Source organism: Homo sapiens, chromosome 2, assembly GCF_000001405.40.
Source record: "Homo sapiens chromosome 2, GRCh38.p14 Primary Assembly".
NCBI lineage: Eukaryota > Metazoa > Chordata > Mammalia > Primates > Hominidae > Homo > Homo sapiens.
Window position 1 is genome coordinate 50,693,131 of NC_000002.12, and position 27,236 is coordinate 50,720,366.

The 27,236-nt window shown below is 36.0% G+C and overlaps 1 protein-coding gene and 1 non-coding gene across 16 annotated transcripts in view; both read right to left on the reverse strand.

Moving 5' to 3' along the window:
- The window catches only part of NRXN1 (neurexin 1), a 1,113,630-nt gene that overhangs the window by 774,628 nt on the left and 311,766 nt on the right, over positions 1-27,236 (reverse strand). The window lies entirely within an intron of this gene.
- MIR8485 (microRNA 8485) lies at positions 3,042-3,132 on the reverse strand. Its single transcript, NR_130470.1, has one exon. It is a non-coding gene; the product is annotated as a microRNA 8485 (primary transcript).

Below are 27,236 nucleotides of genomic sequence, written 5' to 3' on the forward strand. Positions count from 1 at the left end.
AGGCCAAGGTTTTTCGTATCACAAGGAGAAAGTAGATTTAAAAGGCAAAAATCCAAAGGAGAGAATACAAAAGGAAAAATATAGATCCTGTGGGCAGATTTTGGTAGAGTAATTAACAGAAACAGAGTGCTTAATGCCAATATGCTAAATACTAAATGCTAACCGAATAACTATAGGAGGTAGACTGAGGTGCCAAGATTGGAGACTGGTGTGGTAAAGGCCAGCTCCACTTGACAGTAAGAGTCGGATGTTAAACAACTTGCCATAGCTGCCTCCTGACTTCTTGGAGGTGTTTTTTTAGAATATAACTGTGGTCCTTTGGTCCACTATACCTAGGGACTTTTGGACTTCCTCCTGCCTACAATTGCGTGCAAAGGTCAAATAAACTGGCAAGGAACAAAATGTGAGACCACAAATGCAAAAATGGCACAACTGCACTACTGAAATAAATACGTTGAATCAATGAACTCTGATATTTCTGCATTAAAATGCAGCTTGCAACCACTAACTGCAAAGGAAAATATGAAGGGAAAATAAAGAGATGGTAACTAGGACCTAATATCTATATTACTAACTCAACTTCAGAAAGTTGGTATATTTTCAAAATTGCAGATATGTCTGCAACCTAAAGTATACTTCATAGCATTTAATTAATTAATTAATTTTGAAGTTTATTTTAGAGGCAGAATCTCACTCTGTTGTCCAGGCTGAAGTGCAGTGGTGCAACCGTAGCTTATTGCAGCCTGAAACTCCTGGCATCATGTCCCCCTTTTACCTCAGCCTCCTGAGTATCTGGAACTATAGGTATCCACTACCATGGTCGGCTAATTGTTTTTATTTTTTGTAGAAATAGGGTCTTCCTATGCTGTCCAGGATGGTCTCAAACTCCCGGCCTCAAGGGATTCTCTTGCCTTGGCCTGCCAAAGCACTGGGATTATAAGTGTGAGCTACCACGTCCAGCCCATAGCATTTTATTTTGAGGTTTAGGGACTAACGTGTGTATGATTTAGCAAGTGATGTTTAATGGCATTTTAAAATAATGGGTACCAAATAGAAACGTATGAATTGTTACTTGAATATAATTAAACTTTGTAAATTAATGGATTAGACTAGAAAGAAAAGATTCCAGAAATTTGAGGGGAAAAGGTAGGTTCTAGCACTGTCTCTTACATTTACATATTCTGTCTGTTTGGGCATGTTATTTTATCTTTTTGCATCGGTTTCCCTCTTAATGTATGGGTGAATATATAATAGTTGGAATTAAACCATAAATCAGTCAACTTCTAAGCTGTATACTATAAAAAACATTTGATGTAAATAATAAAACTCCTTGGAATCTGTCCCTCTTTGTGTCTCCATAACCTTCTATATTTGTTAGTTGAAATAATTATTTCTAAGTCTGAGGATTGTCCATTCAAGGTTGAACACTCAAGAAAACTGATTTATCTCTGTTCATCTCTACAAAGTCAGAATCGAAGAAGCATCATATCCTTTGGTTAAATTCAAGGTAGGGAAAAGAAAATCAAACCAATTCTACCAAAGAACAAATCAATTGATTTGATTATGAGTAGGTGGAGGTTACATTCTTTATCTTACTGAATTTGAGGTAAAATCGGTTAATCCTTTTATCCCCAATATTCATATTTAATCCAGAAAATGCTCTCTGGAACAAAAGTAATCATTACAAAATAAAGGCTTTATTCTACATTTTAGCAATAGTCTTTCCTTGGCTTATAAAAAATTAATTGCGGGGTATTCTCTTGATTGGGTACTTTAGATCCTGGTGACTGTTCTAACTGATGGGGCTGAAAGACAGTTCCCTTATCTCATAGCCAAATCACCTCCATGCAAATTGATCTGGGAGTGCCTTTAGAATAAACACAGCTGGATTCTCTGCAGCCATTTATGGGTCCAGTTTCCTAGGCTTAATTTTGATTTATAACTACTGAAATTAAATTAGCCATCTTCACTGCTTAAGGGTGGCTTTGATTTCACCAGTGCAGTAGGGAGACTATTTACCAACATATTTTATCAGTAACATTTCAACCTGGGTAAGGGGGTGGCGGTGGGGGGAAGGCATCTTATCTTTGGTATTTGTACTTGAGATTCCTTCAGAATATTTTAATTGTATTATTTACCGACAAATGTGAGGATTAGATTGTCAAATCAGACTCACATGAATTAAAGATCTTGCCCAGCATCAAGCTTTGCTAAATAATTTCAAGGATATAAGCTATCAAGTTCAGATAAGGTGCATCATATAACATAAAGTGGTGTACCTTATGTCATATGCTCCAGGTAGCCCTGCCTCATAGATCCTGGGTTCTATTAACTATGGGTAATCCCTTAGCCAGAGACATCTTGCTAGGGACAGAGATATAGTCTCTTATTCATAGTAAGTAACATTAGTCTATTTCCATTTGACAAAGAGATTAGACTAAGTCTTTGCTTTCCTCTAGGAGCACAAATTATTGTACAAAACGAGAAACAAAATTTGAGAGATTAAAATATGTGAAATATGTTAATAGTTCTAAGAAGGCTTTTATCTAGAACACGGTAATAAATGTCGACGTGCTATAGTAGGAAGAGTTGAAGATAAATGGTTAGATATCGCTTTTTATCCATATGACTTTGTGCATTAGTTTTTTGAGCCTCAGTTTTACTAATATTCCAAAGGATTAGGGAAATAAGCCTAACCAGAGTGACTCTGATTTTTTTTTTTTTTTTTTTGAGATGGAGCTTCGCTCTTTCACTCAGGCTGGAGTGCAGTGGCACAATCTTGGCTCACTGCAACCTCTGCCCTCCAGCTTCAAGCGATTCTTCTGTCTCAGCCTCCCAAGCAGCTGGGATTACAGGCGCCCACCACCATGCTTGGCTAATTTTTGTATTTTTAGCAGAGATGGGGTTTCACCATGTTGGGCAGGCTGGTCTTGAACTCCTGACCTCAGGTGATCCATCCGCCTCAGCCTCCGAAAGTGCTAGGATTACAGGCAAGAGCCACCACACCCAGTCGACTATGGAAATTTTAAAAGACAGTACATATACGTGTGTGTGTGTGTGTGTGTGTGTGTGTGTGTGTGTGTATGTATACACATATGCTATATACACACACACACACACGTATATCACAGAACTGAAGACCATAAAATGTTCTATACATATGAAAAAATGAGAATTTGAAATGTACATAATTCTTCACACAGATAGCTGACAGTGTTATAAATCTCCTTTCTTATAAATAAGAAAAACAGTCTCAGAAGTAAGTAATATTCTGATGGAGAGTTAGAAAAGAAAACCTGTCTTACAACTCTTTAAACATGCTTCTCCTCTAAGCTAAATCATAGTTTGCTAAAGAAGGTCGTGATAAGGTAGAAGAAAGACAAGAAAAGCCAAGGCAATGGGGTGAAGCAGGCGGAGAAAACTGTTTATGCCTCTTCTTCCAATGTCTATTTATTTTCTTTGTGGTTCTGAGCAACTATTTCTTCTTTTATCTTGCAACTGTCAAAGCAGCTCTCTGTAGAGAAACCAGCAAGCACACCCATTAAAACCAAAGCATGAATTTTCGGGTGAGGATCAGTGAGGCTCTCTTAAGAATACCTGAATTTTCACAGAGATAAACATATTTATTTGATTTAAATGGTAGAAAGTGTTAATTACTAAGTTTCATATACTACCAGGAGTCATAGAGAAGTCATTTTGGAGACCAAGAGTATATTCCTAGACCATGTAATCACATCATTTGAGTAGCTGCTTACTGAGTTTATTCACAATGAAAGCCTGATACATAAATTCTTTAAACAGAAACCAGTGGCATTGTTAATTTCCACTTTTGTTTCCAAATTGTTGCTTTTGTCTCATTGAGAGCATATTACTTACTTCAAGCACCTTAACAAACAAAGCTGGGTCATACACAAACGTCCTACTGTACCAGCAATAAGACAATATGAATACCCTGCAACCTCTCAACAACCAGAAGACAAAGATGTATTTGGAAGGGGCAGATGGGAAGTGAAAAAGAGAAATAAAATATACTTTACAGGGAATATTTTGCACACGTAATTCTGAGTGTTATATTTTTAGCTTGTATAAATAAACTTCATTAGTCTTCATTTTGAATATACAGGAAAAGTTTTTTTAGAAAAGACTCATTGTCACAAGCTGATAAGGTAAGTTAGGACAGTATATGATTAATATGCTACAATGATGTCTAAGAGAGAGGATGCTCATTAAATTTGTGTGTGACAAAAGTTGGAAAGAGTGTTAAGACCTTGAAATACTGGAGCATCTTTCAAAGTGAAACTTGACAAGTTAGAGAAATGGTCAGATAGAGAAATGGATTTTAATCAGACTGAAAGGAAAATTAATGTATTGGTTTTGTCAGTTGTACCTTCATCTTGAACGTAATGACTGCCTGTTACTTCCTCTGTGGTTTCATCCGAACCTAACGCGACACTCCCCTGAAAGGTCTCCTCTCTCCCTTCCTTGCTCTTCTGTAGCCCATGCTTCACTTCTCAACTATGGTGATGTTTTGAAGATGTGAATTAGATTACATCATTCTTTTCTTCAAATCCTCAAATAATATTTAGAATATAATTCAAATCCTGGGTTGCCATGGTCTACAAGGCCTCAAATAAAATAGGTTCTGCCCACATCTTTGTTTCATTTTCTTTCTTTTCTCTGCCTCCAGGTTGGCACTTTTGTTCCTTTAACTCTTCAATTTACCTTGGTGCTTTGTACCAGCTGTTCCCCCAAAGTAGACAGCTCTCCATAGCTCTTCACACGGCTGCACTTCCTGCTACTCTCACTTAAAGTCACTGCCTTGAGCCAATTTCGTTAATCTGGCTCTAAATAACAACACAACCCCATCTACACTACAGTTCATCCTAATACCAGTCTAATTTTCTTCATAACACCTATCATTATCTGAAATCATCTTAGTTGTTTCACTTTAGAATCCTCCTTCTCTCATGAGAAAGTAAACATTGTGCGGGCAGGGTCATGGTCTTGTTTGTCCTGTACTTCCCACCCGTACAGCAGTGCTGGCACTTAGTAGGTGCTCAGTAGATATTCGTTGACAGTATAAGACAGAAGTCCTCAAATGTTGTCCAAGGACATTTGGTAGTCCCTGAGACTTTCGGGAGGGCCAAGGGCCAAAATCTTTTTCATCATCTCACAAATATACAACGGTGCTGTCTAGAGGCCAAAGGATATATGCTATCACAAAAGATTGCCTGCAGAAGTAGTTGTGAGAATCTAGCTCTCTTAAGCCAAACATCAAAGAGATTGTCAATAATGTAAAATAAGTCACTCTTCTCACAAAATTATCTTAGTGTTGGAATATAATTATTTTTCATAAAAGTACACAATTTATTTTAACATGCAACATGCAATGTGGTGGCTATTTTAAAATGAATTAATAAATATATAAATGTTTTCTCAGTCAATTCTCAATAGAGTAAACACTAATACATATACATAACCTATACAACAAACATAAACTTCTCAGAGGTTTTCAATACATTTAAAAAGTAAAAAGGGATCTTGAATCCAAAAATGTGAAAACCACTGAAACAGAATCTCATCAACTAGTCTCCATTATTCCCTAGAAAACATCCAGTAGAACTTTCTTCTCCAGTTAAAATTGCCCTCAAAGAAGGTTTTCTCTTTCCTGATATCCATGCTTTTGCTATTCATTGTTTATGAAATGTCTGTCTGTTTCTCTCTTTCTCATTTCTCCATGTTTGAAGTACACTTTAAAGCTGTCCAAAGTAGTCTTTTCCATGAAATTTGACTCATAGCTCTACCACAAAAAGTTCTCTCTATATATACCTTTAGAGCATTAAGAACCTATACTACCAATTGACAATAGTATTGTTAATTATCTTCTCAAAGTGCCTGTAAATCTCTCTAAAGGCAGAAACCTCTCTAAAGACAGAGACTGTCAGACAGTCATGGTGCAGCCTGTATGTACCATGCAGGAAACACAAAATGATAGCAGGATCTAGCCTCCAACAAACTCTTTTCTCTTAAAACCTAGTATGGGATGATAAAGATTAAATGGAAACAAAAGCATTGGTTAGCTATCCACCCAAAAATTAATATTCTGGCAATATTCACACCTTATAACTTTTGGGATTCACCACCCAAGGTAGACAGAATCCTCACCACCACCAGCAAAGAAGTCCAAATCCTAATTTCCAGATCCTGTGAATATGTCCTTAAGACGTAATTAATGTTATAGATCTAGAAACAGAGGAATGATCCAGGATTATCTGAGTGGATCAACTCATTGCATGAGTTCTTCAAAGCAGGAGCTTTGTTTGGAGCAGGAGAGAAGTGGCAGAAGGGGAAGTCAGAGACATCTGAAGCATGAGAGGGACTTCACTTCCCACTGCTTGAAGACAGAGGAAGGGGCACCTGGAAAGCATGAAATGGAATGAGGGCAGCCTCCAACCAAAATCCAGGCCCCCTGCTGACAGCCAACAAGGAAACTGGACCTTAGGCCCACAACCAGAAGGGAGTGAATTTAGTCAAAAAACCCGAATGGCTTGAAGCAGACTTAGCCTCAGAACTTCCAGAAAGGAACATGGCCCTGCCAACACCTTGCCTTTGGCCCAAGCAGAGGACCTACCCTAGACACATGATACTCAGACTTCTGACCTACAGAAGTGTGAAATAATAAATGTAGTCTGTTATAAGCCATTGTTGGCTATTTTTACAGCAACCATAGGAAAGTAATAAAGCACTCATGGCATGTTCAATTCCAATAGCCCTTGCAGCAGACACACAAAACCACCAACTTCCTCTAAGCTCCAAGTACTGCACTCTGTCCACTCACCCTGCTGCCTTCTTTAACTTACAAATTATGCACACAGTAGGTATGTTTGCATAATTAAAAGATAAGTAGAAGAACTAATAGTCTTTAAAAAAAATTGTTCCTTTAGTTGTTCTGAATATATGTTTGTCCTTTGATAAAGGACTCTTTGCAAGGTTTCCGTATGACACTTTATTCTTAAAATTTTTGAGCAGTTAATTTAAAAGTGAATCCAAATGGATATCCAAATCTAAAGTCATCTAAACTGTTAGTAGTGTCAAATGAGATTGCTCCACCACAAGCTCCATTTGGAAAAGTAACCAGCACCTGACCTACAGCTGAGTTCCATGTAATTTAGTTGTCAAAGTGATGGAGCACAACTCTTCCATTTAATTTCTATGACATCTGTATCAACTTGACTGTATCCTTTGCTGGGCCAATGGCAATTTTTCTGGACAAGATATGGTGTAAATGGCAGGGCCAAAACACAGGAGAAAAAAAATGTAGGTGAAATTTTAAAAATAAGATAAAAGATCACATGTTTCCTAGGCATCCAAAATTTAAACCATCTATTTGATGATATTAAACTCAAAGTTGCTGTGACCTTATTGTATTAGTAATAATAGCACCAAGGTAACAAGTCCTTGGAATCTTTCTATAGCATAGACTATTAACTAGGCTCTAATAAAATACCCTATTTTGTTCCCACTGCATGTCACTTTTGTAGGGCATATCTTGGAGTTAAGAAATAAAGATTGACCATATTTATTGATTTGCTCATTCTCTTTAGAGAAAAATGTGAGGATAAGTTTTTTATTTGATACCTAGACCAATAGATTTCCAAAGAGCTGGGATCAAGATTTTTTTTTTTTTTTGAGACGCCCGGCTAATTTTTGTATTTTTAGTAGAGACGGGGTTTCACCGTGTTAGCCAGGATGGTCTCAGTCTCCTGACCTCGTGATCTGCCCGCCTCGGCCTCCGAAAGTGCTGGGATTACAGGCGTGAGCAACTGCGCCCGGCCAGGGATCAAGATTTTTAAAATCTCTTAAATTGTCCGAAGGGTGCTTCTTCCACTACATCATAGACAGAAATAAAATTTAGTTCTAGTTAGACACCCTGCTCTTTGAAATTAAAAAATAACTACATTAAAGTAGGCCTTTCCTTCCACTGATAAAATGTTCCAAAGTTATTTATCACACCTTGTCTATTACATTTTTGAACAGATAATATTTCTACTATCTAATTTTTTAAAGCATAAAAATATACAGAGAAAAGTTTCAATCTCATCATCTCTGTCTCTTATCTGTCCAGTTACCTGCACTCCCACAAACCCGTCTAAAACAACTATTGTCATTATTATTATTATATTGACTCTTCCAGAGTTGCTTTTGGCATATACAAACAGTATTATTATTACTGTATTTTATCTCACACTTTTGGTAACATACTTTACAGACAATTCTTTTCACAGAAGGCTAGCAAGTCTTACGGCCATTTGACAGATTAAAGCATCAAGGCTCAGGAAAATTAAACCTTTTGCCTACATATATACTGACACTTGAGAGTCTTGCATTTTTCTGAATGGTATTCTATTTCTATCATACCTTATTACCTCTGTTAGCACATGATTACCTACCATCATTTATTATTCTCTGTCAGCGTCCTGCATATAAATCCCCATCACAAGGGACTGAAAGGATCTTAGAATTCATTTAATCTTCTACTCATTCAGTATTTGCATCACATGGTAACTCCCATTCCTCTTCAATGCTTGGATACCTCCAGTAAGTTGTAAGCCCTTTAAGGATGGGAGACATTTTCTGCTATTGTTTTCCCTCTGTTATAATTTATCATCTACTCTTTTCTCTCTTCTATCAGGATAATTATAATGGCATAATCCCTTTTATGTGACTTCCCAGTCACAGTTAGTTTTTTACTATAAGAATAATTTGTAACCAGTCCCTCATAGGATCTCAGTGCTTGTCCATTGTTGCTTTTTCGTATATTTGATAAATATTCAATTTAGAATAATCATTGGTAATAACTTCTGTATCTTTACAAACTAATGACTGAAAATAATCATTATAATGTAAGACTCCTTTAATTGGGTTTCCAAAAAGATTGTTTCATAGGAAATAAGACCTACAGGTATTCGAAGGAAAAAATAAAAGCATTACATGGTCAGGTAAGTAGGATTATTAGATATTCTTAGAAATTCACCGTGTCCATTATTATGTACAAAGCTCAGAGAAGTGGATATAACTTTGTTTAAACCAGAGTTTTCTAAACATATTTTCACATTGAACTCCTTTTCCAGATAACATAGATGAGCATCCTACAGGCCATTTTCATGAACCATACTATGGGGAAAAACGTTGCAAAAGACCATTTGTTTTTAAAAATGTTGTAATGAAAAAAAAAAACAAAACAAAACCTCATTTGTATTCAGCATATGTAAAACACAGAAGAGAAAGCATATCTGAAAGAATGACAAATAGCTCAGTTCTCTTTTCCAAGCTTCACAAAGCTACATAGTTCATCTTCTCAATATAACTCAAAGAAGAACAGAGAAAATTTTCTGTATGCACATAAATGTATTCATAGCATTTTTTTGAATTTATAATGCCTTGGCCGCCACATCTCAGACTGAAGAATTAAAAACAACAGTATTTCATACTTTTCTTGATTTTTTTAAACTTCTCTTAGCCAAAGAAATCATACATTGCTGTACTTACATTGTATGATTATTTGTTATTTTAGATAACTCCTCAGATAAATTCACTAAATTAAAACACTGTATCGAATATGTTTTGCTTTTTTGTCTGGACAGTCTTTTTATTGCAACATATAATGTAAAAAGTAATATTTATTCATTGTCACTGTTATAATTATTTCTCTGATTTTAAAAACAGTAACAGACAAGTTTTTTTTCCCCCAGGATTCTCCATTATATCTAACTGAATTCCCCTATCAGGATGCCCTTTTTGTTTTGTTCTGCTTCCCCCTTTATAATAGGATATAAACAAGAGACAGAAGTTAAATCTCCAGTGAGAGAAAAGTAACACCTAACGAACAGACAAACAAACACAAAAACTGGTGACAGTCTCAACATTCTCAAATGTTTTGCTCAAGCACTCTATTACTGTTAGTATTGCTCATTTCATTTAATTGTAAATAAGGTAGATTTTGCTGCTAAGCAAAATGATAGAAGCTAGATCTTCCTAAGGACAAACAGTTATAAGAACATCTGTACCTGAGGGCAAACCACCAGAAAAAGCAAGAAAAACTCCTAATAGTGAGACAGAATGAGGGAAAGGGGAGAAAGACTAAAATGTACCTGCCAAGAAAATGGCATATGTTTAACAGATCCAGGTAACTCTTTTTTGATGATTGCAGTAACAGATAAATGCAGACTGACCTCTGCACCAGGTATTTCTAGATATCCAGATGGCACTCAAGGGAAGGGAGCAACCTTAGCTTAAAAGTTTTATTTCAGAAGGTGGTGGAGGGTTAAGAAGAAGGAAAGGTAAAGATGTGTCAACATCATCTTCTACAAGGCTTGTTCATATGTTATAGTCCATTTGAGAAAGGTTCATTTAAAGTATGTTTTGGTGATCAATGGTTGCCCAAATAGGCCCTGCCTCAGTAGAGAAACCCATGGAGTGCCATAAAGGGCATCAAGGATAGACCCAACATAAAAGACTACTTACAGTAATTTAATAGCAACTTAATTCAGATCAGAGCTGTGCAATAATGAGGAACGGTTAACTATGAATTGATGTTTATTGTATGTTAGAATTTGAGCTAAGAATTTAACATGGATTATAGATTACCCACTTAATTAATCCTATAGACAATCCTGTGAGATTCATTATACTAACTCATTTTCCAGGTTAGAAAATTGAAACAGACTGAATAAGAAACTTGCCTAAAGTCATATCGTTTCTACGTGGTAAAGGCAAGATTCATATCCAGAGCTGGGCATTTTAAGTTTACTGTAGAATAAAATAAAATAAAAGCACAATTCAAAATATATTAAAATATATCTAGGGGAGCCAGCTCTGAGTTTAACTTACATCACTTCTGGTGGATTGAATGGATTTCAGTGGTCACTCAGCTATATTATATATAAGTAGGAAATTTTCTAGGTATGGAAATATATAAACTGGATCAGATTCTAGAAGACAGCTGGTGGCCAATATTATCTTTATTATTCTCTACTGATAGAATAGTATGCATCCTCTTATATCAACAGAGAAGAAAGATTATAAAAGATTGATACTAATCCAAATATAGTTTTTTTAAATTGTTTCCAAGCTTGTCCTCTTGCTGGTTCACAATTGGGTCAAGCACAATTTTTAAAAATATATATTATTCATCTTTAGGCAAAGTTTCCTTACAATTCTTAAATCAAAGGGAGTAGGAAGTTTGCATTACCTAAGAAAATAGAAATAAAAGAAAAAATGAACATGGAACAGATTACTATTTCAATATGCTGCAGGATATTTGCAAAAATATTTAAAAGAGAGTTACTTTTCTAAAGCATTAATTTAGAAGCTAAAAATCTGAAAATTGAATTGATAAATAATGGTTTCATTTTAAGAAAGATCTTAAAATGTTATATGAGAAAATTAGGTCATATCACTTTTTTTTTTTAACATTGTTAGTCTTCAGGATTTTTGGCATAATTTATATGTGTAAATTTATGTTTTTGTCTTATATTAATATTTTAGGGCTCTGTGTTTCATTTCTTTCATTTTACTGCTTTCCTTGATCTCATTACTTATGATTAATTAGAATTTTTCAAAACCTAACCTGGCACAAATAAATACCAATGAAAGAAATAAGAAAATATTGGCCCTTCTATCACAATTAATGTAGCATATTAATAATATATAATATTACAATTTACAATAGTTTCTAAATATAAATTTCCTCATATTTTTCTCACGAAAACCTGTGAGTTAAATAAGGCAGGAATTATTATTGTCATTTTACTGATAAATAAACTGATCTTTCAAGAAGTAAAATTACTTGCCTAAAGTTATGCAGCTTAATAACTTACGAATAAAACATTTGTTTACAATATATACACAGAAACACAAACACACACACACACACACACACACACACCCATCCCCAGGAACTGCCGATTTCTAGCATAAATCTACTGTAACTCAGAACTGAATTAATAATTATCTAGTTTGCTGATAAGTTGACATTTTGACAAATGTGTCTCAGTATAAGAGGAAACCATACAAAGATGAATGTATTTACAAGTTTATTTGAATCATAATACGAATGGGCTTAACTTCCAATTCTTTATTCAATTGGTCCATATTTTATCAATTTTATTTAAACAAATAAATGGGTACGATTCTATTGCTTTCAATAGATAAAACTGAATCAGACTGATGGTATCAATAATTATGTTAAACCTATCAAAGTATTTGAGGGCTTTGTGGTAGAAGTTAAATGTGATAATCCACGGAAGCACTTAGCAAGTGCCTGGTATACAGTAAGTGCTCCACAATTATGTGAGTAACATGCTGCTTTATAACTAATCACAAAGAAGTGATCTGGCACTATGAATAAGATATATCTTGACTTTCATAATTTTAGATTACTGGATAATCTCCTGACCAATGCAGTTGGATTATTTCCAACCTCCCACATACAATGTTTTTCTTGAATAATTCAGTGGGAAATAAAGGAGATAAATGAAGTCTCAGAAAATCAGTTGCAGCTTCAACCTCATTTTGACATTTCCTTCTAAGTACTTCCATCCACACAAGTGAAATGCTGTTGCTGCCCCCAGAGACACCGCTGATGAGCCCATGCTTGTCACCTAATTCAGGAATTGCCCTTATGTTGATTGGCCTATGGCCCATAGTGCGACCACACATAAAAGATCTGCACAGACAGGAATAGTGGTAATAAACAAAAACAATCAGAGGCTCTCCTACAAATTCTAATTAGAGATAAAGGAGTCAGTAAGTAGTACAAAGAAAAGCACAAAAATCACATATGGAGAAAAGAGGCAAACTGAGTAAAGTTACTCAGCAGTAGACTAGTAGAACAGTGATTCACAAACTCTGCCATGGATCCCCGTCAAGCTTCCAAGTGCTAAACTTCATTCTGGTGTCTACTAGACATTGCTATCATGAGGTTCTTGTTCTCTCTTGAGCTCTTAATCATGTAGCTATTTTACAAAAACTATGGTTACTGCCTTCTTTACATCTTTGTCAATCCTTCAAAAGCATTTCCATTATTTAAGTAATGTAAGTGAACTCTCAACAAAACAGTCTACTAACTCCAGGGTACTTTTTGATACATATACCTGCTGGGTTATATAGTCATTGCCTGTTCTGAGTTTGAGAAGACGGTTAAGACAATAATCACATCACGCATGAGATACATTCTAGTATATTTTATACAACAGGTTAGCAAATACTTCTGTTAATGGCAGGGAGACTGTTACTTTAGTAAATAACCTGAGCTTATTGATAAGGGAAACTTGATAGCAATTGGAGAATTAGAATTAGAATTAGAATCTCTAATTCTCCAACTGGTAAATGACTCCTCTAAATAGTTTATTCAAGATGAACATTGGCTTTACAAGAAATCTTCACAGCCAATAAAGTAGACACTAGCTGTGGTTTATAAAAGCTGAAAACACTATTAAATATTTCAGTTCTCTCTGATAGTGTTATATTTGACTCTACTTAGCCAAACATGTCAATTTCATAAGAAATCTATAAAATGTTATTGTTAAATGGGAATCTTATCAATGACCGGTGCATTTTTAATTTCAATATGATAGCAGAAGGCAACCAATATAAGTCATATGAAAAGACATATTTGGATTTTTTTTTTTTTTTTGCTACAAGGCAAGGGTCATCTGAAACATTTCCCATTTCATATTTTGACAATTTATCCTTCATTGTTTAACATAAAGCCTTCTAGTTTTCCTTGTTTCATAAAATTTGAACAATCATGAGGTGGTAGTAGCCCATTTATCTCATGGTAAATTTCAAATGAACTTACACATGGTTTAGATGGGTTTAAAGTGGCAGCTGTAATTTTTGTTGGGTATATGCAGCTGTCTGTAATGATTCTGGTCATACATTTTCATTCACCTTATTGTCTGAATATTTTCTAAAGGAAAATAGGTGTGTATGTATTTGCTTGGCCCAACTTTGATATGTCTTGCTGGCTTTCATCACCTTTGGAAGAAATTGCATTTCCCAGTAAGCTGTTCCACAGTGGAATGATAAGTGATGACCATCCTGTGGATTTTCACAGCTGTACAAAAGACATTCAGGTGCACTTGTCTTTTGAATCAGAACCCAGTTAGCCCCTCGCACATTTACAAAATTGCTTTTGGGAGAGTCAAACCTGGATGACTTCCAAGCTAGTTAAAAATAATTCTGAAGAAAAGTGCAGTGCTGGTTCTTGGCGGTAGAAATGTGAGTTATGTTCAGCTGCAGTAGATTCCTTTCAGGCAGTTCTGATACCCATTTCAACTTCCAAATTTCTGGCAGACGTTATCTTGTACTTTCAGCTTTTTTGTGATAAACATATTGAAAATTCAGTCAAACAGCTTTTTATCATTTCAAAACTTGAGCTCAAATTTAATCCTGCTGCCCTGATGAAGCCTGGGAAGCTGCTAGGGCATTTTCATTATATCCAGACTGGACTGCAGAACTCCTTGCCATTCTTCAGGACTCTGACAGCATCATTCATTTAGAACAATGTGATCGATCCAGAAGAAGCCAGCAGCAACAAACTCTGGGTACTCATACGGAAGAGCATATCCTATCTAGTTGAAAAATGTTTCCGTCTTCATTCTTAGCCTAGAGATAAAATATCCCATCATTTGGACTTTAGATCCTAGAAGATCTTACAGATTTTCCTACAGTATATTAACAGTGTTTACATTTAAATCTCAATCGTTAGCTACAGATGGATAATCTCCAACCAACAATGTTAGAGTTGTCTATCATTAATACATTTCCTATTTGTAAAAATGTGGATTGCTAACTGAACATTTTGTTTCTTATAAAGATTTCAGGTATTATATAGAAGTAACCTACTAATCTTTGATATATGTAGGAATAGAATACTCATTAGTGTTTTAGGACTAACCTAAGAAAATTACGAGTTCCTAAGCTGGCCAACACTCAAGATTAGAACTGATATAAATGAATCTGAAAGTTAAAGAACAATGGAGTTGAAAAAAGATTTAGAAATTATCTCATGTAACGATTCCTGATCTAGGTTCTTCAGGCACTCAAAAATAAATGGATAAGCAAGTACTAGTGGTTCATGAACTATTTTCAATACTTATAAAATTATCATAGAAACTGTAACTAAAGAGAATGCACAGGTTAACTGAATTGTCAATTTTAGCAGCATTTGATTGGAATTATATCACCTCTGTGGCAAAGCTTGGCATTTCTTCTTATTGGCCAATTAACTTTCTATGTAATAAGATTTGTTGTTGCTGCTGGGAACAGGGCTTGAGTTTTCACTGCTAGAGCCTCGTTAGTAAGATAAAGGACTTAAAGTACCTGGTAAAAGGCAAGCTGCACAGTTTAAGAGAAGTTTCTTGACCTTGAATTGTTGTCCTCAACAACAGGCAGGGTACCTAAGTTACACAGAGGGAAGACTTATTTTCCCATAAAACAGGGTACCCTTACCTAAGACAACCCAATAAAGTGTGATGGGAAATAGGACCTCACACAGGAGGAGAAAGCAAATCTAAGGTGTAAAGTATCGGTGGGATCTAGTCTGCTTCTCTCCATTCCTCATTCTAGCTGTGCATCCTTTTCCCACTTTTTCTTTTCTTGAAACTACTCATGTAAGGAGCCAGAGCAGGGATCCAGGGTGACAGTGAAGAAACCCTAGGCTACAGAAGCCTGAATCAAGACCACTGTGTGAGCTTCCAGCCATAGCTCAATCCAGGCACTCAGATCAGGAACAAGCCTGTTGGTGCTTTGGCCATTGGCATTCACTGAGGAGAACAGGGTTCTATGCAGACATTTGATTGCCTGCTGATTTCTAACAGGGACTGTCCTCTGTTCATGGCTTTCCAAGAGCCAGCCTTTATGGGAGCCTCTCAGAGGTGACAAGGTCAGTATGGGCCCCTCCTCACAGCACTGATGCCTCACAGATGGCATCAGCTCGTACCACAGGCAACCACATGAGCTTACTTGTTGAGGAATGAGCTTGGTATTGGTGGATGGCACGTGATATTTGCACACATTTATTCAACAAATACTTATTGAACACCTGTTATATGCTTGCTAGGTACTGAGATGAAACCCGGAACCATACATTGACTCTATCTTTATGGGGTTTACATTCTAGCAGGAAAAATATATTAAGTGTACAGTTACCAAAAATTACCAACAATTATGATAAGTACAGTGAAATAGAAATACACAGTGTTATGAGACATTATAGCAGGAGGATCTAATCTACTCTGGAGCATCAGAAACGGCTTCTCAGAGGAAGTAGCTTGTGAAGTTTGACAAGGGTGGCCATATAACCTATCATCCAAACTGAATCACTTCAGAGAAGGTACCACTTTAGAAAGAGGGTGCCATTAACAAGTACCCACAGGATAACAGGCACCAAGAAGGATTTGGTTACCTGAGATATGACCTGAAGGAATAAAATCAGGAAGACCAAGAGGAATCTGAAAATACCCGAAATCTGCTTCTCATGGCTGGGACTGTTGTTTTGAACTGATCCTGGCAGACTTTTGGCCCACTGAGTGAGGACTGTTGTTCTATGCTTAAGGAATGAACTATTCATTGGTTCAAGTCTAAAATGTTAGAACTTTGGCTCATATTAAATTACTTGACCATTCTTAGAAGGAGGCCAACACTTGACATATCAGAACATTCCTCTAAGATCACAAGGCTATCAAGAATTCAATTAGAATGAAGGTCCTTTATTGGCCCAGTTCCCCAGAAATGCATTCCAGAAGATATATTTTGAGTTGATACATGTAAGACTCTACTATTACTGCTCAATGAGTGAGAAAAGAGATCTAGAGGTATCTGAATTGTTGACTAGAAAGCATCCACCAGAACATGTGCAATGAATAAACAAGATTTTCCTATATAAAGAAAGGTTGAGAGCAGATAAAATTGTTCGCTTGCAACTTTACATTGTGGGTGAACAGGGAGCTTTCAAAGGAGCTGCAGACTTGTATTACCACTGAAGGTAATTCAACTGTCGACCACACGCCAGGAAAGAACCTCTTAAACAGATAATAAGTATTCCTGATAACTGCCAAAGGGCCTTGATATTTCAGCAAGCTGCAAAAGAAAATAAATTTAAAAACTCACATCTTACTCAGGTAATGCATTAACTCCAGATCACTACAGAGAACATTTCAATTCCCACTTCTATAAATATACACCTGTTCTTCATTTGTGAGGCACCCCTAACAACACACATACCCACCTCTATGCACAGAGAGGATCTTATAAACATTATTCTTGCTTTCCTTGTACTTGGGTTTGATTTCTCTATTTTTCAGCAAGCTATTAGATGTCATTAATACTCCCTATAATTTCAATAGTTTGTTCTTTTGGACTAGGTTCAGGCATTGAAGTTAATGTCAAATTGACATTTTTTAGCCTAAACATACTTTTCCCATCTTTGAATAAGTTAAGAATAAGCATTAAAAAGTGTCAAAAATAAATGAACTCGACATTTAGCTTACATATAGTAAAAAGGTATATCAATTATTTGCTGGTAAGTGAGCACACAGGGCAGAGCTGATAAACATCTAACTTTAAGTTTGCTTCTCTGCTTTTTTTGGCAAGGAAAGAGAAAATCTTTATTTGACTACAGTTACTTTGGTTTTCAACTTTTAAACTAGTTTTTTGATATGCCAAATTCAACACATCTTTAGACCTTATTAACTACCTTTCTGTTTGCAACTGTATCTAACATGTTAAATTACAACCAGGTGCAGTAAAACCTTAAAAAAATTTACCTCTGTGGCCCCCATAATAGAAAAGAATATTTACTGACTCTTCTGAACATTGGAATAATGACAACAAGCAAACAGAATTAATATAAAATAGAAACTTCTGTGTACTTACTGGTCAAGTCAGCTTAAAATTAAGCTCTTGCACTCTTAACCCTTAACCCTTAACAACCCTGCGTAGCAAACACTAGTCTCTACTGCAAGGCTCTATCTAAACCAGTGGCTGTCAGTTTTGGTAAGTTTAAGCATTGGATGGAATGTTTATTGAAAAACCACATTCCCAGGACCCACACCCTTAAGGTCTGAAACAGCCCTCAGGAATCTGCACTTTCATCTGTTTAGGTGACTTTGAAATGATAGTTCAGGTACTGGACTTTTTTTTTTTTTTTTTTTTTTTGAGACAGAGTTTTGCTCTTGTTGTCCAGGCTGGAGTGCAATGGCACAATCTTGGCTCACTGCAACCTCCGCCTCCCAGGTTCAAGTGATTCTCCTGTCTCAGCCTCCTGAGTAGCTGGGATTACAGGCACATGTTACCACACCTGACTAATTTATGTATTTTTAGTAGAGACAGGTTTTCATCATATTGGTCAGGGTGGTCTTGAACTCCTGACCTCAGATGATCCAGTCACCTCGGCCTCCCAAAGTGCTGGGATTACAGGCATAAGCCACCGCACCTGGGCTCAGGTAATGGACTTTGAGTATCACTGACTGCTATGGTTTTAATATGTCTCCAAAACTCATGCATTAGAAACTTAACCCCGAATGCAACAGTGTTGGGAGGTGGGGCATACTGGGAGGTATTTAGGTTATGAAGGTGGAACTCTCATAAAGGAATTAGTGCCTCTTTATAACGGGCCTCTGGAAGTGGTTTCTCTCTTTTTTGCTCTTCTGCCATGTTGAGTACATAACATTCATGCCCTTCCACTGCCACTGAGTGAGGCAAGAAGCCCATCACCAGACACCAGACGCCGGCACCTTGATCTTGGACGTGCCAGTCCCCAGAGCTGTGAGAAATAATTTTCTGTTCATATAAATTACCCAGTTTATAATATTTTGTCACAGCAGCACAAAACAGACCAGGATCCTGACCTACATTATTTCAAGTAGGAAAGATAATTGTATTCTTCTTAATACTTACATCTAGACACATGCTAAGTGCTATATATTATGTTAAATCATTTAATCTTCACAAAGATGCCATTTATGAAATATTATTGATTACATTTTACAGATTCAGAGAGTTTAATAAACTGTTCAACACATTATAAACATCAGGTTCCAAGTAAGAGGTGTCAGTTAGATTCTAAAGTCTTCCCTTTCCTTTCCAATGCTGTATCTCCGTATATCAAAGCAACATAATTAATTGCTATTTTTTAAAAAAAATTGTTCAAGCACAAACTTACATTACAAAACCTTTCAGATTCTTCAGATTTAATAAATAAAATCATTCCTTTCACCAAGCTCTCCTGTATCAGTGTAATAGCAGCTCAGACTCTTGCCCAGTGGTCAACTTCTCAGCTAATCAAAGATCTTGGTTTAATGTAGGCCAAACCAGGTCCCCTGTGTCCTTATATATCCTTTTGCACTTTTCAGGCTTTTTAGATACGTTATCTCATTTTATTCTTCTAACGGCACTAATAGATCACACAAAATAGATGCCATCTTTGTCTGTTAATACCAAAAATCACAACAGGGTTCTCACTTTGCTCCTAATTCAGAAGCATCATCATCTCAGCCCTTTAACTCTCATATGCAGAATTTATTTGAGCTGCTCCCCTGCCCTGTGAGCTTGGCAGCTTTGTGTCCCTGTGTAACCTCATGACTGCAGCCTTCATCCCAGGGTGCCAACCTACTCAGCCAAAGATGACATTAACAGAGGATCTGGCTGAAATGCCTTGACATTATTTTTCTCTGGGAAAGGTGTGTAATTGCAGAAAAACTGCTCCCCAATTATTCAAATTTAAACATTTTATCTGATGGAAATGATATCATTTACATATTTTGTTTCCCAGTTTAAAATTGTGGTTTCATATCTTTTGTGCTTGTATATCTGAGAGTTATATTAAATTTAAAATAGCTGAGTGTATTGGCTCACTCCTGTAATCTCAGCAGTTTGAAAGGCCAAGGCAGGAAGATCACTTGAGGCCAGGATTTTGAGACCAGCCTGGTCAAAATGACAAAACCCCATCTCTACTAAAAATACAAAAAATTATTCAGGCGTGGTGGCGCATGCCTGTAATCTCAGCTGCTTGTGAGGCTGAAGCACTGGAATGACTTGAACCTGGGAAGCAGAGGTTGCAGTGAGCCGAGATAGTACCCCTACACTCCAGCCTGAGTGACAGAGTGAGACTCTGTCTCAAAAAAAAAAAAGAAAAAAAAATTACAATGGCTAGCCCTGGATCCATTTGGTAACAATCTCATTCTAATGTATATCTTTACACAGGGCAAATTTTACCAGAAGCCTTTTAACGATAACATTTTACGAATTCAAAAGAGCCTAGATCTGGCAAGTGCTTGGCTGGCAGAAGTGAAATGTATGGTGTGTTCAAGAAGCATCAATTATGGCTGACTGACTGGACCCTGAGTTAAAAGTCAGCATGGAGAGAGAAAAAAATAAATCATCCTACGCCTTTCAAATACACATTGTAATGTCCCTTCTACTTCCACTTGACAAATCTATAAGGAAATATAGGTTGGGGAGCATGTGTATGTGTCCAAATGTACTTCGCAAACAAAAAAAAACAGATAAATTATTACATCATTAATTAACAGTGGTATTTACCAAAACACATAACATCTTATGTCAATTTAAAGACCTGTTGGTCTATTGAGGAGTAGTTTGTAACTAGCTAAGTTCATTGATAAGCTAAAATCAAATGTCATAGGATCCTGGTCTTCTTTGAAAGATTGCAATAGAAATACAATGTGATGGGATTTTTATATGTTTATTATAACCCAGATGTACAGTAAATCAGAGCATTGCTGAATTTAAATTATACCATCACATCCTCAACAACGATATAAATATTGAAGGAACAGAGAGATAAGCAAGCTATATGACCAATATCTAACAATAAATAGGTATTAGGCTTTTACTTTAAAAATTAAGGGCAAATTATTTAAAATATTAGAAAAGGTAGCAAGATACTTGATAAAGAATAGTGTGAACTGACGTCTGTCTTCCACATCCCTGCCCATTACCATTCCCAGTAGCTAAATCAACTTTAGTCAAGGTTAACTAACTCCTTTATATGGCCACACAGGAGTCCCTTGGCTATACAATTTGCACTTTAATCCTCTGGAAGTTGCAAGAGGCCAAATGAAATCCTCACATTCAGCCAGAGGGAGGAGAGAAGAAAGCCATAATTCAGACCTCCCTGTAATATATTAAGAGAAATCTGTCTTTTTTTTCAGTGTCATTGCCTTGGAAGGTAACCCCTTCTTGACCCTAGCATTTAAAAGCTAGGTTGGTGCATGTCCAACATCAGGGTCACAGCCATTTTTCTGCTACTCAGTTCATCTTGGAACTGAAAGATAGTTTCTTCCCGCCATCAATCATTACCCAAGGTAAGTGTCACAGTATATGGGTGCATAAGGTAAAAACAGATGAATATTAATTGGTTCATTTTATAGCACCAAGTACAATGAACAAAAGGCCTGGAGCTCAGAGTTGGAAACTGAAAGTTTCCAGGAAGAATCAAAATATACCAAATTCTCAATAGCTATTTCCTTATCTTCTGACGTGTGCTAAATTGTACTACCAAATGTCAAATATGCTGAGTAGCCTTGGAAACAGGCTGCAATTGTGAACTGTTAGTCTACCAGAGAGTCAGGATCCCTAGCTCCATCACCAGTATGAGCAGGATAATGGGCAGATCATTCTGTTTGCTTTCATCTGTTAAACATAGGTAGTAACACCTAGTATATTTACAGCACAGATACATTAGAATAATTCAGTATAAAAAGTGTAAAATCAGCTGGAAAAAGTTAAAAGTGCTATTTAATTATAATGTTATGATGACAAAGAATGTGACCCATAACATCCCCAAAGAAATTTAGGTTAAATTTAATATGTGGACTGTTTACTGGTAAACATGGTAGAATCATGAATAAGCCATTATTCTATGGAAAACAATGCAAAAATTTATATTAACTTCTTTTACTCAAAGGGTACTCTTTCTGTCATCCACTCAAATAGTACTGTCTAGCCAGAAATGAGTTTATTTTTAACACTATACAGGAAATAGCACCTCACATATATGTCAGTTTCAGTCATGTGGTCATGATTAATAGTCATCATCTGATAGGCAGGGTGGAATGGTGATGTGAACATGGGATTTCGGGTTATCCCTGGATCCACATCTGTATTCTGGTGCTTTCTAGTTGTGTGACATTGGGGAACCTTCCACTACTTGACCTTCAGTTTCTATTGCCTGTGATTGTAATAAAAATGCTTCTCACAGGGTTGCTGTAAAGATTAAATAAGAAACTGGATGTAAAAGTGATTTGTAAACTGTAAATTGTTTATAAATATTGTTATTATTTCTATATGGATATAGAGGGCTCATAAATATGCCGTCTATTTCTGGAAATTTAAATAACTTGTGTAAGTTTTTGTCTCCAACCTAATTTCCCAGATATCTTTAAATACTTCTCACAATGAATTTCCATTCTACTCACTGAAAGTGAAGTCATCGTCCCCCATCTTGTGCATTCTTGCCTTTTTGCTTAGTTTGCATGCAACACTCTCTCTTCCTATATCTACATGAAAAATTCTTGATGATCTTCTCTATCCATCCTTTAAGTCCCAACTCAAATGCCACTTCCTCTCTGAAGCCCTCGCTGATTATTAGTTTCCATATATTAATCTCCATATATTGATCTCTTTTCTAATCCTTTTGTTGCTTGAACTCTCAACGCACTTCTTTTTGCTGCCACTCATTTACCATTTACCATATACACATTCTTTTTCACAGTTATCTTTTCAAACAAAGTTTATACATCTTATCTCTACCATTAGAATACAAGGTCCTTGAGATTAAAGAACATGAGTTAGACCTTTCTAGTCCCAACAAATCTAGGGAGGTGTCTTATAAGCAGTAGTAAATGTGTGTGATGACTGATATAAATGAAGTAAATGAAAATGTAATGACTAATATAAAAATTGGCACAAACATCTATTCCATGCAACAGGAAGATGTTTTCAAAAATAATATTACATTCCAAAATGATTTTCCAGTGGCAATTTGCATAGTGTGCCATTTCAGTGCACATGTTTAACAGAATTAGCAGAAGAGAGACTGATATAAGACAACCCATTTTAGGATTTAGAAGGCTACCACAGATTAAAAACTAAACCAATTTCTGTTCACAGGGGAGAAACATTTAGGAAGCCGCAATCTACAGTAACTTTGGGAGGAATCTGTCCATTATTGACTAAATTAAAACATGAGTCATTGAAGAAAAAGAATAAACTCAAGCAACTGGCTAAGTAATAATGAAAAATAAAATAATAAAACTTGGCTGAAAAAAGATAATTACAGTCCACATTTCAAATAAGAAATTATAAAATAAAAACAAATAAAACAAATTACCTTACATAAGCAAGTGATCCCCATCTGCCAGCTCATTTGCTATGATAATGAGAACTTGTTGCATTCTAGTTACCTAAATTATCATATCTACTTCCATCTACATATAAATATACATCTCAATGTAATGGAAAAGAAATGGTTTATTCAATTACTGGATTTCCGGAGCTAACAATTGTTACAATTTAGTTAAGTGTCAGACACCATGCTAGGCATCTTTACAAACAATTTATTTTTAATCCTTTCAATAGTAATCTTTTGAACTCCTTAACTGCTTATCTCCTTTATCATTAATTTAACAATAATTCCTATAATATTTTATGATGTCTCTTCTATTAGTTGCTAGAACTACTATTCTGCTCTCTTTCTGCCATTTGTTCATTCATTTATTCATTATGGCTAAATACTTATTTATTGGCTATTACATGCAAAGTACCATTTTTAGCTCTAAACAAAGAGTAGTGGAAAAAGTCCATTACCCAATGGAGCCTTCATGTTGTTACTCAATTCTGTGCACTGTGTAGTCAAACTAGATTGTTAGTTTCTTGGAAGCTATTTATTTAATTTGATTTCTTTGTATCCTCTGGTGTCTAGTACAGTAAGTACTTAATTCAAATTGGCATGCAATACATATATGTTACTTCATTTTAACATGTTTTAAATATTATTGGATTAAATGACATTTATTCCTCTACTTTAAACATTATAATAACACTACATCAAATTCTAATTATCAAGGGAGGACTCAGAGGAAAGTCTAATAAGCCATTATTCATCACACTACATGTACTTCCTGGTACCCCAAAAGCTTGTCCCCATTGAAACACAATTATTAATGCAGATTGCCAGGTTGGGTTTCTGTTCTAGTTGGAACAACATCTGTGTTTGTAATGGCCATAATGTAGCTAACTGTGAATTTTTACCATGATTTTCAGTAACAGAATAAACATTCTCTTGACATTTCTACACGACAAGACTATGAAGGCTATTTTTAAAGTATTTTGATAAGATTTGGCATTTGAAAATACGAACTCAATTTAATATGAAATGGACGAATTTCACTTACAATTATAGTTTTAATCTGAGCTGCTATAACAAAAGTAGCTCAAACTGGGTGACTTAAACCACAAACATTTACTTCTCACAGTACAGGATGCTGAAGGGTCCAAGGTCAAGGTGCCAGCAGATTTCACATCTGGTGAAGGCCCACTTCCAGGTTCACAGGTGGCACTCTTTTTACTGTGCCATTGCATGGCAGCAGTGACAAGGGAGACCTCTGGGGTCTCTTTTGTAAGAGACCCTTTTGTAAAGGGACTCTTTTGTAAGGGAATCACATTCATGAGGGTTTCACTCTCATGATCGAATCACCTACTAAAGGTCTCACCTGAATATACATTGAGGGTTAGGATTTCCACAAATGAATTGGGAAGGCGGAATAAACATTTAGTGCACTACAACAGTTTATATGCCCACTGTTCTCTTCACTTTTCTCAGCCAGACAGAAGCTAGGGTAATATTTTTAATTCCTGGTGTCCATAACGTCAGCAATTACCCGATGTTGTTTTCTTCATCACGCTTTGAAAGGCAGCACAGCATAGGTTAAATGCATGGTTTTTGAGCCATGGTTTCAGATAAAAAATAGGTTCCTCTCTTTGGGACTTTTATGAGACTTATTTTATACAAACACATATAAACATGGGTATGTTGTTATATAAATCTTGGGCATAAGTGCATGAGTATGGGAGCACAAAAAAAATTTGGCTTAGCCACATTACCGTTAAAGAAAGTTGGATGTGGATCGACACAAATAACATGAAGGCTGGGAGCTGGGAAGGGAAGGCATGTTTGCAGAGTAAAGAAAGATGAAGCCATTCTGTTCTCAAAAATCAAACATGTAAACTGTTTACAGTTATATTTAATCCCCCAAAACAACATAGTTATTAATCTGTATCTGTTTATATCACACATAAAGAAACCAGAAACAGAAAGTTTTACTAATGTACTCAAGTTCATATGATGATTTAATTCAGGATTTGACAATGAGTACAAAGCTAGATGGCCAACCAAGGACGCTCACTAATTGCAGTATGAGGAAAATAAGAGCCCTTCTGCAGAGTTTCCAGCTCAAAAGCTTTTAAGAGACAAGCCCTTTGTATGTGTATAAAGATGTGTGTTTGCATTCATGTGCCTGCGTGTGTGTGAAATAAAAATTTCATACTTGAGAGAACTATGGAAAATAGCACAGTAACTCAACAGAGCCATTGACATTTGATATTCTTCCTTCCCTCCCTTCCTCTCTCCCTCTCATCCTCCATCTCTTCTCCCTTCTTTCTTTCTTTATCACTAAGCTGATTAGATAAAACAGACCATTTCAAACCTCTGCTTTAGGATGCGTTGCAAATATGTTAGTTTGCATATATAAAACTAATATATAAAAGTAAATATAAAAATATATTTATAAATATATTCATAAATACATAATATAAAAGTAAATATTAAAATCCTACAACTTCCACCATTGTGAATGCACTAAAACACATTCAAAGAATTAAAAATTTGGAGGCTTGGAGGTGTAAGATTAGAGACTTGTAATCTTTATCCTTCAACTATCACACATGTTTGACTATCATATTTGAGTTGTCTTCATCCCTCAACTATTATTATTTTCTGTTCATTAAACCTCTTACCATAATTCCAGTTTAATAATCCATGCAATGGTTTGAATGTGGGGGAAAATAATATTGTTTGGTCAGTATCATCAGTATATTCAAGCAAAAAATTAAAAAAAAAAACAAGTATTTCTATTTCAAAATAAATATCTTATTTAAAATAAGTTTCGTTTTCCGGCTGGGTGCGGTGGCTCATGGAACCTGTAATCCCAGCACTTTGGGAGGCCGAGGCAAGTGGATCATGAGGTCAGGAGTTCGAGACCAGCCTGGCCAACATAGTGAAATCCTGCCTCTACTAAAAATACAAAAAATTAGCCATGCATGGTGGCATACGCCTGTAATCCCAGCTACTTGGGAGGCTGAGGCAGGAGAATCGCTTGAACCGGGGAGGCGGAGGTTGCAGTGAGCCAAGATCACACCATTGCACTCCAGCCCAGGCGACAGTGCAAGACTCTGTCTAAAAAAAACAAAAACAACAACAACAACAATAACAACAATCATTTTTCATTGGATTTATTCTTGATTGGGATTATTAGCATAAAAGTATCTGAGAAATTGCACATAACTCAATTTCTAGGTCTTTATCTCTCTCATCCTGAAAGGCTTCCTTAGGCCAACTTTGCCTACTTAAATGCTTTCCTTATTTCAAGACCCTGTTCATTCAGTGGCTTTCCTGAAGTCTCTCTGTCATCCCAAATACACTGCTTGGAGCAACAGAAAAGGTAAAGCTGAGAGAGCCATCAACTATGCCCACAGTAGCCCTCAGACGTGTACAAATACACACAGATACATGTTTAAAGAACAAATTACAAAACTGGTCAATCATTAAACTCAGGGTAACACATTTTCAGCCTGCACAAGATACCTAGATGTTTGGCTCATGCCTTTGCTGTAGATCTGTCCAGCAAGTGGTCTGATTTTTGGATCAGAACATGCAATTTCTGTATAACTGACACACAGATATATATATTGTCTTTCAACTTTTTTTTTTTAACCACATCTTGAACCTTGGAGGAGTTACAATGGGAAACTTCATTTTCGAAACTCCCACAAGTAAAATAGTGCAAAATTCATATAAAACCAGTTACAACATGTCTCTTTCAGGGTACCTCCCTCCCTCCAATGTAAGCTACAAATCAGCCACATTAACA